Consider the following 17,757-nt stretch of genomic DNA (forward strand, 5'->3'; position numbering starts at 1 on the left):
CAAAATTCTAATATCCACAGTCTATAAGCAACAATTGAACAAGCCAAAAAAAACCTAATTAAAAGTGGGCAAAAGACATGAACAGACACTTCTCAAAAGAAGACAAGCAAGCAGCCAACAAGCATATGAAAAAATGCTCAACATCACTAATCAGAGAAATGCAAATCAAAACCACAATGACATATCATATCACACCAGTTAGAACAGCTATTACTAAAAAGTCAAAAAATAACTTGCTAGCAAGGCTGAAGAGAAAAGGTAATTCTTATATACTGTTGGTGAAAATGTAAATGAGTTTATTCACTGTGGAAAGCAGTTTGGAGATTTCTCAAAGAACATAAAGCAGAACTACCATTAAACTCAGCAATACCATTATTGTGTATATACTCAAAGGAAAATGAATTGTTCTACCAAAAGACACATGTACTCTTATGTTCATTGCATCACTATACACAATAGCAAAGACAGGGAATCAACCTAGGTTCTCATCAATGGTGGACTGGGTAAACAAAATGTGGTACATATATACCATGAAATACTACAGAGCCATAAAAAGAATAAAATTATGTCCTTTGCAGCAACATGGATGCAACAGAAGGCCATTATCTTAAGCAAATAAACATAGGAACAGAAAAGCAAATACCACGTTTTCACTTATAAGTAAATGCTGAATATTGGGTACACGTGGACATAAAGATGGCAACAACAGAAGCTGGAGACTAGTAGAACGGGGAGAGAGGAAGGGGGAAAGGGCTGAAAATCTACGTATTAGGTACTATGCTCAGTACCTGGCTAACAGGGTCATTCATAACCCAAACCTCAGTATCATGCAATAAACCCACCTAACAAACAAGCACATGTACCCCTTGAATCTGAAATAAAAGATGAAATCATAAAATTATATATTGGAAGAATTTAGTCTCCTTGAGAAATGCTGTGAAGTTTCTGAGGTCTGTGATTATAATTTTTAAATTAAATAAAACTAAAAACCTGATCTAGTCATGAGGCACTAAAAATTAATTATGGCACTGCCTTTTTTGACCTTGATTTAAAAGAAAATGTTAATGAGGTTTGTTTTCACTGATGATAAATAGAATAAGAAAAAATTTAAATGTATCTTTAAAATTCTTTATCTGTCAAATGTTTCATTGAGGTATTAATATTATTAAATATATTTTTATACATTTCTTTAAAGTTAAGAACATGCATTTTTTTAAGGGTTTATTTTACCATAAGTCACTAGATGGTCACTGCTTTTATATGGTTACTATCCCAGGGTAAGTCCCAGACACAACTAATTTCCACAGATCAGAGTTTAAAAAGTGATTATATAAATACTAACATAGATAAAATATTGATTTTTCAAAGTCCTCAGTCACTCAGTCAATCAAGAAGTGTATTTAATGAGTGTTTCCTGTGGATCAAGCACTGTTAAGCTACCTAGGCTTTAGTGGTGGTCAATTTTAGTTTAAAAAACAAGCAGAAATTTTGAGTTGCATAGAAATTGTCATTTGTTCCCCAAGACTGTGTCTGACTCCAGTTCTTTCTTTTTTTTTTTTTTTAACTTTTAGGTTTGGGCATACACGTGAAGGTTTGTTAGATAGGTAAACACGTGTCATAGGGGTTTGCCGTACATATTATTTCATCACCCAGGTATTAAGCTCAGTATACAATAGTTATTTTTTCTGCTCTTCTCCCTCTTTCCACCCCTGCCTCAAGTAGACCCCGGTGCCTGTAATTTTCTTCTTTGTGTTCATAAGTTCTTCTTACCTAAGAATGATGACTGTACTTTTGTGGCAGTAACTGCCATATCTAAAAATCTAATCCCAAAGTCAAGTTTTCCTTCAAGAACATGAAGCTCATGTTTGCTTTTTTTCTCTTTCTCCTTCTCTCTTTCCATTCCTTAATTTTCTCTTCTTCCTTCTCATTCATCTTTAGTTCTTTTATTTTTGTCATGACAATGTGTAAAGCCACTTATAGAATGATAATCTTATTTTTATTTATTGTTTGTCAAGGGACAGAATGAAACCTTGAAGTATATATGTCATGTCAATAGAAATACTAACAGTTACAGGTTTCCTTAAATCAAACTCAATGATTTTTTATGTGTAAATGAAAATAAAAATCTACCCTCAATCCAGTGAAAATTCCCAGGCCCACATCTTTATAGCACACAGAAATAGCCAAGGATTATTACTACACATACAAGTTGCTGATTTCAGAGTTAGTGGTTGCTTTCCTTTTTAAATAAAATTTGAACAAAAAGAAAAGGATTCAGAAAAGATACTATTTTAAATTATTGTTTTAAGCAAATGACATAATGGATTTAGTCAGATTTTACTTAGTATTTTGACAAATAACTCTTTATACTTAATTAAGCTATAATAAATCTCATTTTCACAGTGTTTGTAAAAATGTTTTTTCTTTTGGCTGATAATTTACCATCAAATGCTGGTTGTATACATAACAAAGCATATTATAAACTCACTTTTTCTTCACATGCTTATTTTGTGTGATTAACTTTCCCTGAGAATTGTTACCTTTTTTTTTTTTTTTTCTTCTGTTTTTGTGTGTGTATGAAGATTCACCATGCTAGGGTTTGACTGTTTATGGTGTAAATACTATGTCAAGTCTTGACTCAAAATGTTTTTGGTGTTAGATACTTAATTTCTTCTTGAATTAATGCTGCTTCTTTTTTACTTTTTTTTCTGTTCCATTAGGGAAACAATTTTTAAAAATCTGTAATCAAAAGTACACTATTTTACTGCATTAAACCAATGTTGAATTTTTATTTTTTATAACAATTCCTGACAATGTTATATATGTTAGTAATATTATTCCCTGCTAAAAATATTTTCTCTTAAAGATAATATAATACCAAAAGTAAAGCCTGCAAAAATGAGAAAATCTCTATTTAGTACCATTTTCATATGTCTCATTAAACTTATTTACTGAAAATCACAAGTAACCACAAGTAAAATCAGGTACCATACTTACTGGTAGATATGCTGACTCCTTTTATATAAATTTCCTAAAACTTATAAAATGTGTTTTACATTTTACATAATTTTAGAAGTTACAAAAATCAGTCAAAGTAAATATATTTCTTACTAGGATTTGCTTTGAGGTGAAAGATTATCAACATATTCTTTATGTGAAAAAATGAGGAAATATCAGTAAGTTATATTCTGTTTATTCTCCCAGTTGCTATTTTCCTTTTACTTCTCTTCAAATAACATTTTTTTTTTTTTTTTTTTTTTTTTTTTTTGAGACGGAGTCTTGCTCTGTCACCCAGGCTAGAATGCAGTGGCACGATCTTGGCTCCCTGCAAGATCTGCCTCCCAGGTTCAATGGATTCTCTTGCCTCAGCCTCCTGAGTAGCTGAGATTACAGGCATGGGCCACCATGCCTGGCTATTTTTGTATTTTTAGTAGAGATGGGGTTTCACCATGTTGGCCAGGCTAGTCTCGAACTCCTAGGCTCAAGTCATCCATCTGTCTTAGCCTCCCAAAGTGTTAGATTACAGGTGTGAGCCACTGTGACCAGCCTCAATTCTACTCTTATTCTTATGTTTCCTTCTAAAGTGATAAATTATGGTTTTCTCAAAATCCATGGTTATATAGATGTCAGTCTTCTTACCAGAAAGAGAATAAAGTGAAGATAGTTTTGCATGTATTTATTGATTGTTACTCAGTTCATGATTCTCTTTCAGAAAGTGCTGGGAAAGTGAATCATTGTGAATGTCTAAAGGCTATCAACCTTTTCCTAACCCTTGAAACTTCTTCCTTTCTCAGTATCACTGAATGTAAAGTGGAATTCATTAATACAGTTGTCTCCACACCAACGTTTTCTTCATGTTCTTCATTAAAACCCTTTCTCAGGCTTTTGCCATGTATTGGTGTTTTTAAAACAACTGTAAAAGAGGATTTACATGTTTAGATCTAGAAACCATCTTTGTCTATTTTTAGGATTAGGACAGAGGAAGATTATAATGGCACTGATTTTCAGAAACTTAAGTTAGCTCCAGAAGACATTAAGTTAACCACTAATATTAACTGTAATCAAAAGAGATCATCAGATGTTCTGGCTGCTTTTCTGTTCCTCAGAGGTGAGACTTCTGTTGCTCTAGATATGGCTGGAGTCAGATTTGCTTTGGTGATAAATCAGTTGTAGAAATGACATGCCAAAGTTAGAAGAGTGATGTGATTTCAGTGTCCCAGACTCAGTACTGTTAATGAAAGATCAAGGTCCAATTACTATTGAATTTTCAAAATTCTAGATTGGGTAATTGCAGTTAAATGATTTTGAACTTGTTTTTTATCTTCTCTTACTTCACCTTTAATTCTTGTACCCAAATAAACATCAAGATGTTTTCTGATGTTAAAAAAATGTTTTGCTAACAGATTGTGGTTCTGAAAATGTGTGATTTGTACCACTTATCTCAATTTCAAATACAATTTTAACACAATGATTAGATCAACCTGTGTATTTGCCTCAGTGTTGGCAATTTAGAGTAATTGGTCTTGAATTACCCAATGGTGCACTTATCATCAGTGTGTAGTCAGTATAATAGATTCCAGAGTCCCTTCATACATAACAATGTGATATGTTATAATATCTTTTTATGCTATTAAATATAATAAATAAAAGTAATAGATGCTTTCTGTAGGAAACCTGAAATGTACTGAAGAGGGTAAAAAGCAATTAAAAACTACTAAAACTACCACACCCAGAATTGATGTCTGTTAACCATTAAAACATTTTTTTTGGTCTTTTTTGTTTGATATGTATCTGAAGAGTTTAAAAATACATCGTTGTTTTTAGTGTAGTTTTTCATCCTGTTCTTTCATTAACATTATATCTTGAGAATTTGCCTTAAATATTCTTCAAAATTATGATTTGAATGACATTATATTCCATTTTATAGAGGTTCATAATGTATTTAGCTATTCTCATATTCAGTTTATTTTCAAGTTTTTTTACCTTTATATATCTTATTTTCCACATTAAATTTTTTTCTTTGATTATTTGCATAAGGTTTCAAGAAGTGGGATAATTGATTGAAAATGTATGAACAATTTAAAGACTGAATAATGAATCCACTCTATCCTTCAAACAAGTATCAATTTATACTCATACTAGCAGACTTTGACATTTCATCTCTCATAGCACCAGTGTTTTACCCACAGTACCATTTCGTTTTATTTGATAGATGAAAAATGTCTCTCTCCCTTCCCTCCTTTGAGACAGGGTCTTGTTATGTCGCCCAGGCTGGCTGGAGTGCAGTAGCATGATCACAACTCACTATAGCCTTGAACTTCTGAGGTCAACCAGTCCTACCACCTCAGCCTTTCAAAGTGTCGGGATTACAGGTGAGAGTCACAATTCCCAGCTTTAATTTCAATTTGTTTGAACATTTTAGAATATATTTTTTAACCATTTGTGTTTCTGTTGGATGTGTGACTTGTATGCTCATGTCTTTTGCCAATTTTCTGTTAATTTTTTAAAATTCATTTTTAAGAGTTTTTAATGCATTAAGGATGTTAACTTTTGTATCTTAAATTTGTTCTTCATGAGCCACTTTACTTTTTTGGTTATTTTTAATCAATATATCATAGCTGTACATTTTATTGGACATGTGATATTTTGATACATGTATACAATGTGTAACTATCAAATCAGGGTAATTGGGATATCCATCAACTCAAATGCTTATCTTTTCTTTGTGTTGGGAACATTAAAATTCTAGATTTCTAGCTACTTTGAAATATACAATAAATTATGGTTAACTATAATTTTCCTACAGTACTATCAAATATTAGAACATATTCTTTCTATTTAACTGTATTTTTGTACCCATTAAGCAACATCTCTACGTCTCCCACCTCTTTCTTTTCCTGGTCTCTGGTAAGCACCATTCTACTCTCTACCTCCATGAGTTCCACTTTTTTAACACATACATGTGAGTGAGAACATGCACTATTTGTCTTTCTGTGCTGGCTTATTTCACTTAACATAATGATCTCCAGTTCTATCCATGTTGCTGCAAACAACAGAATTTTATTATTTTTTATGCCTGTATAGTATTCAATTTTGTATATATACCACATTTATTTTATCCATTCATCTGTTGGTGAGCATTTAGGTTGATTCTATGTCTTGGCTATTGTGAATAGTGCTGTAGTAAACATGGGAGTGCAGATTCCTCTTTGATAAATGGATTTTCTTTCTTTTGGATATATATCCAGTGGTGGACTTGCTTGATCATATGGTAGTTCTATTTTTAGTGTTTTGATGAATGCCATACTGATTTCCCATAGTGGCTTTACAACTTTACACGCCCATCAATAGTGTATGCTTTCTCTGCATCCTTACTAGCACTTGTAATTTTTTGTCTTTTAGATGATATCTATTCTAACTTGAGTGAGATGATGTCTCATTGTGGTTTTGATTGGTATTTACCTGATGTTGAGAATTTTTTTTCATGTAACTGGTTGTTATTTGTATATCTTCATCTAAGAAATATCTACTCAGGGTTTTTGCCCACTTAAAAATTGGATTACTATTATTATCTTCATTTATTTGCTATTAAGTTCCTCATATATTTTAGTTATTAATTCCTTGTCATATGAATAGTTTGTAAATATTTTTACCCATTCTGTAAACTGTTTCTTCACTTTGTTAATTATTTTCTTTGCTATACAGAAGCTTTTTAGCTTGATATAATCTAATTCATCTATTTTTCTTTTGATGCCTGTGCTTTTGAGGTCTTATTTAAAAACTCTTTGCCCAGACCAATGTCCTGAAGTATTTTCCCAATGTTTTCTTCTAGTAGTTTCATAGGTTCAGGTCTTACTTTTAAGTCTTCAAGCCATTTTGAGTTGAATTTTGTATATGTTATAATGCGGAGATCTAGGGTTATTCTTCTGCATACGTATATCCAGTTTACCCAGCACCATTTACTAATGAGATTGTCCTTTCCTCAATGTATGTTTGTGGCACCTTTATTGAAAATGGGTTGGCTGTAAGTGTGTGGATTTATTTCTGACTCTCTATTCTGTTCCTGTAGTCTATGTGTCTGTTTTTATGCCACTACCAGGCTGATTTGGATATTATAGCTTTATAGTACAATTTGAAATCAGGTGGTATGATACCTCAGCTTCATCTTTTTTGGTTAGAATTGATTAAACTATTTGGGGTCTTTTGTAGTTCCATATGAATTTTAAAATTTGTTTTTCTATTTATGTGAAGAATGTCATTGGTATTTTGATAGAGATTGCATTGAATCTGCAGAACACTTGCAGTATAGACATTTTCAAAATATTGATTCTTCCAATCCATAAGCATGAGATATCTTTCCATTTTTTGGTTTCCTCTTCAATTCCTTTCATCAGTATTTTAGTTTTTCTAATAGTGATCTTTCACTTTGGTTCAATTAAATCCTAGGTATTTTATTTTTTTTGTAGATTGAATTGGTTTCTTTTTATTTGTATAAATTTAGGTGGTAAAAGTGCACTTTTGTTCTATGGATATACTGAGTAACAGTGAACTCTGGGCTTTTAGTGTATCCATCACTGGAATAGTGTACATTGTACCCATTAAGTGATTGCTTATTCTTCAACCCCCTCCTATCTTTCCACCCTCTGAGTCTCCAATGACTATTATTCCATACTCTAAGCCCATATGTACACTTTATTTAACTCCCACTTTTAAGTGAGAACGTATGGTATTTGACTTTCTGATTCTGAGTTGTTTCACTTAAAATAATGGCCTCCAGTTCCATCCATGCTGCTGAAAAAGACATGATTGCTTTCTTTTTATGGTTGAATAGTATTCTAGCGTGTGCATGTGTGTATTTTATACTATTATATTTATTACAATTTCTTTTTTTAATTTTCTTTTTAATTCTCAGCAAGGCAATTTACTTCTATATAGAAGGGTGTACCCTTACAGATGGAACAATGGCAAGCGCACATTTGGACAAGGGAGGGGAAGGAGTTCTTATCCCTGACACACATGGCCCCTGCTGCTGTGTGGTTCCCCTATTGACTAGTGTTAGACAGCACAGGCTAAACTAATTCCAATTAGCTAATTTAAAGAGAATGATGGGGTGAGTGCTTTGGCAAGAGTCAGGGCAAAGCAGATAGCAGGTAATCAGAATGAGTTAGGGTGGAGCAGGTGATCAGAATGAGTTAGGGTGGAGTAGGTAATTGAAAATGTTGCTTTACGAGGAAGTTAAGTTTAAAAGTAGAAGGCAAAGAATTGAATTACAATTTCTTTGTCAGTCATCCACTGATGGATACTTAGGTTGTTTTCATATTTTTGCTAATGTGAATAGTGCTGCTATAAACGTATGAGTGCAGATATCTTTATAATGTAATGATATAATGATTTTTTTTCTCTTTGAGTGTATGTTCAGTAGTGGTATTGCTGGATTGAATGGTAGTTCTAGTTTTAGTCCTTTGAAAAATCTTCATACTGTTTTTCATGGAGGTTGTACTAAGTTACATTTCTATCAACAGTGTATAAGCGTTCTCCTTTCTCCACATCCTCACCAACATGTATTATTTTTTCTGTTTAATAATAACCGTTATCACTGGGGTAAAATGATATCTCATTGCAGTTTGGATTGTATTTTTGTAATAATTACTGATATTGATAATTTTTATATATACTTGTTGGCCGTTTGTGTGACGTCCTTGAAAAATACCTATTAAAGTCCTTTGCCTACTTTTTAATTGGATTATTTAGGAGATATTTTCTTGTTGACTTGTTTGAGTTTCCTGTATATTTGGAATATTACTCTGCTGTCAGAGGAATAGCTTGCAAATATTTTCTTTTATCCTGCAGATTGTCTGTTAAATCTGTCAATTATTTCTTTTGCTGTGCAGAAGCTCTATAGTTTAATTACATCCTATTTGTCTATTTTTGTTTTCATTGCTTATGCTTCTGAGGTCTTAGTCATGGCTTCTTTATTGAGACCAATGTCCAGGAGAGTTTTCCTAGGTTTTTTGCTAATATTTTTACAGTATCGGGTCTTACAGTTAAGCCTATAATTCATCTTGAGTTGATTTTGGCATATAGTAAGAGATAGGGATCCAATTTTTGTCTTTTGCAAATGGCAATCCAATTTTCCCAAGACCACTTTTTGTAAAGGGTGTTCTTTTCCCATTGTATATTTTTGTTGACAGCCAAAGGCCAGTTGTCTGTAGATATGTAACTTTATTTCTGAATTTTTTGTTCTATTCCATTGATCTGTGTATCTATTTTTATACTAGTACCATGCTTATTGTCGCCTTGTAGTAACACTTGAAGTCAGGTAATATGATGCCTCCAGCTTTCGTCTTTTTACTTAGGATTGCTTTGCCATTCAAGTACATTTTTGGTTTCATATGATTTTTAGGATTTCTTTTTTTCTAATTTTTTGAAAAATGGCATTGGAATTTTGAAAGGGATTGCTTTGACTCTGTACATTGCTTCGGGCAATATGGTCATTTCAACCATACTAATTCTGATCCATGAACATGGAATGATTCTCCACTCATTTGTGTCATCTATGATTTCTTCTGTAGTGTTTTGTAGTTGTCCTTGTAAAGATCTTTCACTTACTTGTTTAAACATATTCCTAGGCAGAATACTATGTAGCCATAAAAAGGATGAGTTCATGTACTTTGCAGGGACATGGGTGAAGCTGGAAACCATCATTCCCAGCAAACTAACACAGGAAAATAAAATCAAAAACTGCATTTTCTCACTCATAAGTAGGAGTTGAACAATGATAACACATGGACACGAGGACAGGAACATCACACAGCAGGGCCTGTAAGGAGATGGGGGTCTAGGCAAGGAATAGCATTAAGAGAAATACCTAATGTAGTTGACAGGTTTATAGGTGCAGCAAACCACCATGGCATGTGTATACTCCTGTAACAAACCTGCATGTTCTGCACATGTATCCCAGAACATAAATTATATATATATAAACAAAACAACAACAACAAAAAATATATTCCTAGGTGAGATTTTTGTAGCTACTGTAAATGAAATTGACTTCCTGATTTGGTTCTCAGCTTGATTGTTATTGGTATTGAAATGCCTTTAAATTTTGCACTTTGACTTTAGATCTTAAAACTTTATGAATTTGTTTATCAAATAGGAGTTTTTTGGAGTATTGTTAAGGATTTTCTACACACAAGATCATATCATCAGCAAAGAGATAATTTGTCTCTCCCTTTTTCAAATTAAATGACTTTTATATATTTTCTCTTATCTGATTGCTCTGGCTAGACCTTCCAGTATTATCTTTGAATAGGAGTGGTGAAAGTGGATATTTTTATCTTGTTCCAGTTCATACGAGAATTATTTTGACTTTTTTCTGCTCAGTATTATGTTGGCTGTGGGTTTGTCATATACAGCTATTATTATTTTGAGATATGTTTCTTCTATGCCTATTTTTTGAGTTTTTTTTTTTTTTTTTTTTTTTGAGACGGAGTCTTGCTCTGTCACCCAGGCTGGAGTGCAGAGGCATGATCTCAGCTCACTGCAAGCTCTGCCTCCCAGGTTCATGCCATTCTCCTGCCTCAGCCTCCCGAGTAGCTGGGACTACAGGTGCCCACCATCATGCCTGGCTGATTTTTTTTGTATTTTTAGTAGAAATGGGTTTCACTGTGTTAACCAGGATGGTCTTGATGTCCTGACCTCGTCATCCGCCCGCCTCGGCCTCCCAAAGTGCTGGGATTACAGGCATGAGCCACCGCGCCCGGACGAGATTTTTTTTTTTTATTATACTTTAAGTTTTAGGGTACATGTGTACAATGTGCAGGTTAGTTACATATGTATACATGTGCCATGCTGGTGTGCTGCACCCATTAACTCGTCGTTTAGCATTAGGTATATCTCCTAAAGCTATCCCTCCCCACTCCCCCCACCACAAAACAGTCCCCAGAGTGTGATGTTCCCCTTCCTGTGTCCATGTGTTCTTATTGTTCAATTCCCACCTATGAGTGAGAATATGTGGTGTTTGGTTTTTTGTTCTTGCGATAGTTTACTGAGAATGATGATTTCCAATTTCATCCATGTCCCTACAAAGGACATGAACTCATCATTTTTTATGGCTGCATAGTATTCCATGACATATATGTGCCACATTTTCTTAATCCAGTCTATCATTGTTGGACATTTGGGTTGGTTCTAAGTCTTTGCTATTGTTAATAGTGCCGCAATAAACATATGTGTTCATGTGTCTTTATAGCACCATGATTTATAGTCCTTTGGGTATAGTCCCAGTAATGGGATGACTGGGTCAAATGGTATTTCTAGTTCTAGATCCCTGAGGAATTGCTATGCTGACTTCCACAAGGGTTGATCTAGTTTATAGTCCCACCAACAGTGTAAAAGTGCTCCTATTTCTCCACATCCTCTCCAGCACCTGTTGTTTCCTGACTTTTTAATGATTGCCATTGTAACTGGTGTGAGATGGTATCTCATTGTGGTTTTGATTTGCATTTCTCTGATGGCCAGTGATGATGAGCATTTTTTCATGTGTTGTTTGGCTGCATAAATGTCTTCTTTTGAGAAGTGTCTGTTCATGTCCTTCACCCACTTTTTGATGTGGTTGTTTGTTTTTTTCTTCTAAATTTGTTTGAGTTCATTGTAGATTCTGAATATTAGCCCTTTGTCAGATGAGTAGGTTGCAAAAATTTTCTCCCATTTTGTAGGTTGCCTGTTCACTCTGATGGTAGTTTCTTTTGCTGTGCAGAAGCTCTTTAGTTTAATGAGATCCCATTTGTCAATTTTGTCTTTTGTTGCCATTGCTTTTGGTGTTTTAGACATGAAGTCCTTGCCCATGCCTATGTCCTGAATGGTAATGCCTAGGTTTTCTTCTAGGGTTTTTATGGTTTTAGGTCTAACATTTAAGTCTTTAATCCATCTTGAATTAATTTTTGTATAAGGTGTAAGGAAGGGATCCAGTTTCAGCTTTCTACATATGGCTAGCCAGTTTTCCCAGCACCATTTATTAAATAGGGAATCCTTTCCCCATTGCTTGCTTTTCTCAGGTTTGTCAAAGATCACATAGTTGTAGATATGCGGTGTTATTTCTGAGGGCTCTGTTCTGTTCCATTGATCTGTATCTCTGATTTGGTACCAGTACCATGCTATTTTGGTTACTGTAGCCTTGTAGTATAGTTTGAAGTCAGGTAGCTTGATGCCTCCAGCTTTGTTCTTTTGGCTTAGGATTGACTTGGCGATGCGGGCTCTTTTTTGATTCCATATGAACTTTAAAGTAGTTTTTTCCAATTCTGTGAAGAAAGTCATTGGTAGCTTGATGGGGATGGCATTGAATCTGTAAATTACCTTGGGCAGTATGGCCATTTTCACGATATTGATTCTTCCTACCCATGAGCATGGAATGTTCTTCCATTTGTTTGTATCCTCTTTTATTTCATTGAGCAGTGGTTTGTTGTTCTCCTTGAAGAGGTCCTTCACATCCCTTGTAAGTTGGATTCCTAGGTATTTTATTCTCTTTGAAGCAATTGTGAATGGGAGTTCACTCATGATTTGGCTCTCTGTTTGTCTGTTATTGGTGTATAAGAATGCTTGTGATTTTTGTACATTGATTTTGTATCCTGAGACTTTGCTGAAGTTGCTTATCAGCTTAAGGAGATTTTCGTCTGAGACAATGGGGTTTTCTAGATATACAATCATGTCATCTGCAAACAGGGACAATTTGACTTCCTCTTTTCCTAATTGAATACCCTTTATTTCCTTCTCCTGCCTAATTGCTCTGGCCAGAACTTCCAACACTATGTTGAATAGGAGTGGTGAGAGAGGGCATCCCTGTCTTGTGCCAGTTTTCAAAGGGAATGCTTCCAGTTTTTGCCCATTCAGTATGATATTGGCTGTGGGTTTGTCATAGATAGCTCTTATTATTTTGAGATATGTCCCATCAACACCTAATTTATTGAGAGTTTTTAGCATGAAGCATTGTTGAATTTTGTCAAAAGCCTTTCCTGCATCTATTGAGATAATCATGTGGTTTTTGTCTTTGGTTCTGTTTATATGCTGGATTACATTTATTGATTTGCGTATATTGAACCAGCCTTGCATTCCAGGGATGAAGCCCACTTGATCATGGTGGATAAGCTTTTTGATGTGCTGCTGGATTCCGTTTGCCAGTATTTTATTGAGGCTTTTTGCATCAATGTTCATCAAGGATATTGGTCTAAAATTCTCTTTTTTGGTTGTGTCTCTGCCTGGCTTTGGTATTAGGATGATGCTGGCCTCATAAAATGAGTTAGGGAGGATTCCCTCTTTTTCTATTGATTGGAATAGTTTCAGAAGGAATGGTACCAGTTCCTCCTTGTACCTCTGGTAGAATTCGGCTGTGAGTCCCTCTGGTCCTGGACTCTTTTTGGTTGGTAAGCTATTGATTAGTGCCACAATTTCAGAGCCTGTTATTGGTCTATTCAGAGAGTCACCTTCTTCCTGATTTAGTCTTGGGAGGGTGTACGTGTTGAGGAATTTATCCATTTCTTCTAGATTTTCTAGTTTATTTGCATAGAGGTGTTTGTAGTATTCTCTGATGGTAGTTTGTATTTCTGTGGGATCGGTGGTGATATCCCCTTTATCATTTTTTATTGCATTTATTTGGTTCCTTTTCTTCTTTATTAGTCTTGCTAGCGGTCTATCAATTTTGTTGATCCTTTCAAAAAACCAGCTCCTGGATTCATTAATTTTTTGAAGGGTTTTTTGTGTCTCTATTTCCTTCAGTTCTGCTCTGATTTTAGTTATTTCTTGCCTTCTGCTAGCTTTTGAATGTGTTTGCTCTTGCTTTTCTAGTTCTTTTAATTGTGATGTTAGGGTGTCCATTTTGGATTTTTCCTGCTTTCACTTGTGGGCATTTAGTGCTATACATTTCCCTCTACACAGTGCTTTGAATGTGTCCCAGAGATTCTGGTATGTTGTGTCTTTGTTCTCATTGGTTTCAAAGAACATCTTTATTTCTGCCTTCATTTCGTTATGTACCCAGTAGTCATTCAGGAGCAGGTTGTTCAGTTTCCATGTAGTTGAGCGGTTTTGAGTGAGTTTCTTAATCCTGAGTTCTAGTTTGATTGCACTGTGGTCTAAGAGACAGTTTGTTATAATTTCTGATCTTTTACATTTGATGAGGAGAGCTTTATTTCCCAGTATGTCGTCAATTTTGGAATAGGTGTGGTGTGGTGCTGAAAAAAATGTATATTCTGTTGATTTGGGGTGGAGAGTTCTGTAGATGTCTATTAGGTCTGCTTGGTGCAGAGCTGAGTTCAATTCCTGGGTATCCTTGTTAACTTTCTGTCTCGTTGATCTGTCTAATGTTGACAGTGGGGTGTTAAAGTCTCCCATTATTATTGTGTGGGAGTCTAAGTCTCTTTGTAGGTCACTCAGGACTTGCTTTATGAATCTGGGTGCTCCTGTATTGGGTGCATATATATTTGGGATAGTTAGCTCTTCTTGTTGAATTGATCCCTTTACCATTATGTAATGGCCTTCTTTGTGTCTTTTGATCTTTGTTGGTTTAAAGTCTGTTGTATCAGAGACTAGGATTGCAATCCCTGCCTTTTTTTGTTTTCCATTTGCTTGGTAGATCTTCCTCCATCCTTTTATTTTGAGCCTATGTGTGTCTCTGCACGTGAGATGGGTTTCCTTAATACAGCACACTGATGGGTCTTGACTCTTTATCCAATTTGCCAGTCTGTGTCTTTTAATTGGAGCATTTAGTCCATTTACATTTAAAGTTAATATTTTTATCTGTGAATTTGATCCTGTCATGATGATGTTAGCTGGTTATTTTTCTCATTAGTTGATGCAGTTTCTTCCTAGCCTCGATGGTCTTTACAATTTGGCATGTTTTTGCAGTGGCTGGTACTGGTTGTTCCTTTCCATGTTTAGTGCTTCCTTCAGGAACTGTTTTAGGGCAGGCCTGGTGGTGACAAAATCTGTCAGCATTTGCTTGTCTGTAAAGGGTTTTATTTCTCCTTCATTTATGAAGCTTAGTTTGGCTGGATATGAAATTCTGGGTTGAAAATTCTTTTCTTTAAGAATGTTGAATATTGGCCCCCACTCTCTTCTGGCTTGTAGAGTTTCTGCCAAGAGATCCGCTGTTAGTCTGATGGGCTTCCCTTTGAGGGTAACCTGACCTTTCTCTCTGGCTGCCCTTAACATTTTTTCCTTCATTTCAACTTTGGTGAATCTGACAATTATGTGTCTTGGAGTTGCTGTTCTTGAGGAGTATCTTTGTGGCGTTCTCTGTATTTCCTGAATCTGAATGTTGGCCTACCTTGCTAGATTGGGGAAGTTCTCCTGGATAATATCCTGCAGAGTGTTTTCCAACTTGGTTCCATTCTCTCCATCACTTTCAGGTACACCAATCAGATGTAGATTTGGTCTTTTCACATAGTCCCGTATGTCTTGGAGGCTTTGTTCATTTCTTTTTATTCTTTTTTCTCTAAACTTCCTTTCTCACTTCATTTCATTCATTTCATCTTCCATCAGTGATACCCTTTCTTCCAGTTGATTGCTTCAGCTCCTGAGGCCTCTGCATTCTTCACGGAGTTCTTGAGCCTTGGCTTTCAGCTCCATCAGCAACTTTAAGCACTTCTCTGTATTGGTTATTCTAGTTATAGATTCGTCTAAATTTTTTTCAAAGTTTTTAACTTCTTTGCCTTTGGTTTGAATTTCCTCCTGTAGCTCGGAGTAGTTTGATCGTCTGAAGCCTTCTTCTCTCAACTCGTCAAAGTCATTCTCCATCCAGCTTTGTTCCATTGCTGGTGAGGAGCTGCGTTCCTTTGGAGGAGGAGAGGCACTCTGCTTTTTAGAGTTTCCAGTTTTTCTGCTCTGTATTTTCCCCATCTTTGTGGTTTTATCTAGTTTTGGTCTTTGATGATGGTGATGTACAGATGGGTTTTTGTTGTGGATGTCCTTTCTGTTTGTTAGTTTTCCTTCTAACACACAGGATCCTCAGCTGCAGGTCTGTTGGAGTTTGCTAGACGTCCACTCCAGACCCTGTTTGCCTGGGTACCAGCAGCGGTGGCTGCAGAACAGTGGATTTCCATGAACCGCGAATGCTGCTGTCTGATCGTTCCTCTGTAAGTTTTGTCTCAGAGGAGTACCCGGCCGTGTGAGGTGTCAGTCTGCCCCTACTGGGGAGTGCTTCCCAGGTAGGCTGCTCGGGGGTCAGGGACCCACTTGAGGAGGCAGTCTGCCCGTTCTCAAATCTCCAGTTGCGTGCTGGGAGAACCACTGCTCTCTTCAAAGCTGTCAGACAGAGACATTTAAGTCTTTAGAGGTTACTGCTGTCTTTTTGTTTGTCTGTGCCCTGCCCCCAGAGGTGGAGCCTACAGAGGCAGGCAGGCCTCCTTGAGCTGTGGTGGGCTCCACCCAGTTTGAGTTTCCCAGCTGCTTTGTTTACCTAAGCAAGACTGGGCAATTGTGGGTGCCCCTCCCCCAGCCTCGCTGCTGCCTTGCAGTTTGATCTCAGACTGCTGTGCTAGCAATCAGTGAGACTCCGTGGGCGTAGGACCCTCCAAGTCAGGTGCGGGATATAATCTGGTGCGCAATTTTTTAAGCCTGTCGGAAAAGCGCAGTATGGGGGTGGGAGTGACCCGATTTTCCAGGTGCCATCTGTCACCCCTTTCTTTGACTAAGAAAGGGAACTCCCTGACCCCTTGGGCTTCCCGAGTGAGGCAATGCCTCTCCATGCTTCGGCTTGCGCACTGTGTGCAGCACCCATTGTCCTGCGCCCACTGTCTGGCAATCCCTAGTGAGATGAACCCTGTACCTCAGATGGAAATGCAGAAATTACTGGTCTTCTGCATCGCTCACGCTGGGAGCTCTAGACCAGAGCTGTTCCTGTTCGGCCATCTTGGCTCCAGCCCTCCCGGCCGAGATTTTTTATCCAGAAGAGATGCTGATATTTATTGAATGCTTGCTTATGCTGCCTCTATTGAACTTATCATATGGTTTTTGTCTTTAATTCTGTTTACATGATGAATCACATCTATTGATTTGTGTATGTTGAATCATCCTTGCACTCCTGGAATAAAACACACTTGATCATGTTGTATTATCTTTTTCATGCGCTGTTGAATTTACTAGTATTTTCTTGAGTATTTACACATCAGGGATATTGGTGTAAAGTTTTATTATTTTATTTGTTGTGTTCCTGTCTAGCTTACAGGAAGCCTGTATCAAGGTTACACTGGCTTCACAGACTGAATTAGGGAGAAATTTCTATTCCTTAATTTTTCAGAAAAGTTTTGGGAGGATTTGTATCATTTCTTTTTTGTATGTCATGTGAATCCATCTAGTCTTGTGCTTTTCTTGTTGTTGTAAGGTGTTTCATTACTGATTCAATCTCATACTTTATCATTGATCTGTTTGGAATTTTTATTTCTTCCTTTTTCAATCTTGAGAGATTGTATGTTTCTAGGAATTTATCAATTTTCTGTCAGTTTTCTAATTTGTGGGTATATAGTTCTTCCTAGTAGTCTCTGATCTTTTATATTTCTTTGCGATTATTTGCAATGTCTTCTTTTCATTTATGATTAGGATTACTTGGATCTTTTATCTTCTTATTCTTTTTAACAGTCTATCAATTTTATTTATCTTTTCAAATAAGCAAGTTTTTGTTACATTGATATTTTGTATATTTTGGGGTCTCAATTTTATTTGTTTATACTCTGATCTTCATTGTTTCTTTTCTTCTGCTAGCTTTGCATA

General features: G+C 35.9%; 2 annotated features.

Moving 5' to 3' along the window:
• Positions 15,983–16,568: an enhancer, noted in NCBI's record as "NANOG-H3K27ac-H3K4me1 hESC enhancer chr6:86766747-86767332 (GRCh37/hg19 assembly coordinates)". NCBI's record gives its function as "activates a minimal SCP1, AML or CMV promoter by ChIP-STARR-seq in naive H9 embryonic stem cells {active_cell/tissue: H9 hESC(naive)}" and the evidence as "EXISTENCE:reporter gene assay evidence [ECO:0000049][PMID:30033119]".
• Positions 16,569–17,152: an enhancer, noted in NCBI's record as "NANOG-H3K27ac-H3K4me1 hESC enhancer chr6:86767333-86767916 (GRCh37/hg19 assembly coordinates)". NCBI's record gives its function as "activates a minimal SCP1, AML or CMV promoter by ChIP-STARR-seq in naive H9 embryonic stem cells {active_cell/tissue: H9 hESC(naive)}" and the evidence as "EXISTENCE:reporter gene assay evidence [ECO:0000049][PMID:30033119]".

This window comes from Homo sapiens, chromosome 6, assembly GCF_000001405.40.
Source record: "Homo sapiens chromosome 6, GRCh38.p14 Primary Assembly".
Lineage (NCBI taxonomy): Eukaryota > Metazoa > Chordata > Mammalia > Primates > Hominidae > Homo > Homo sapiens.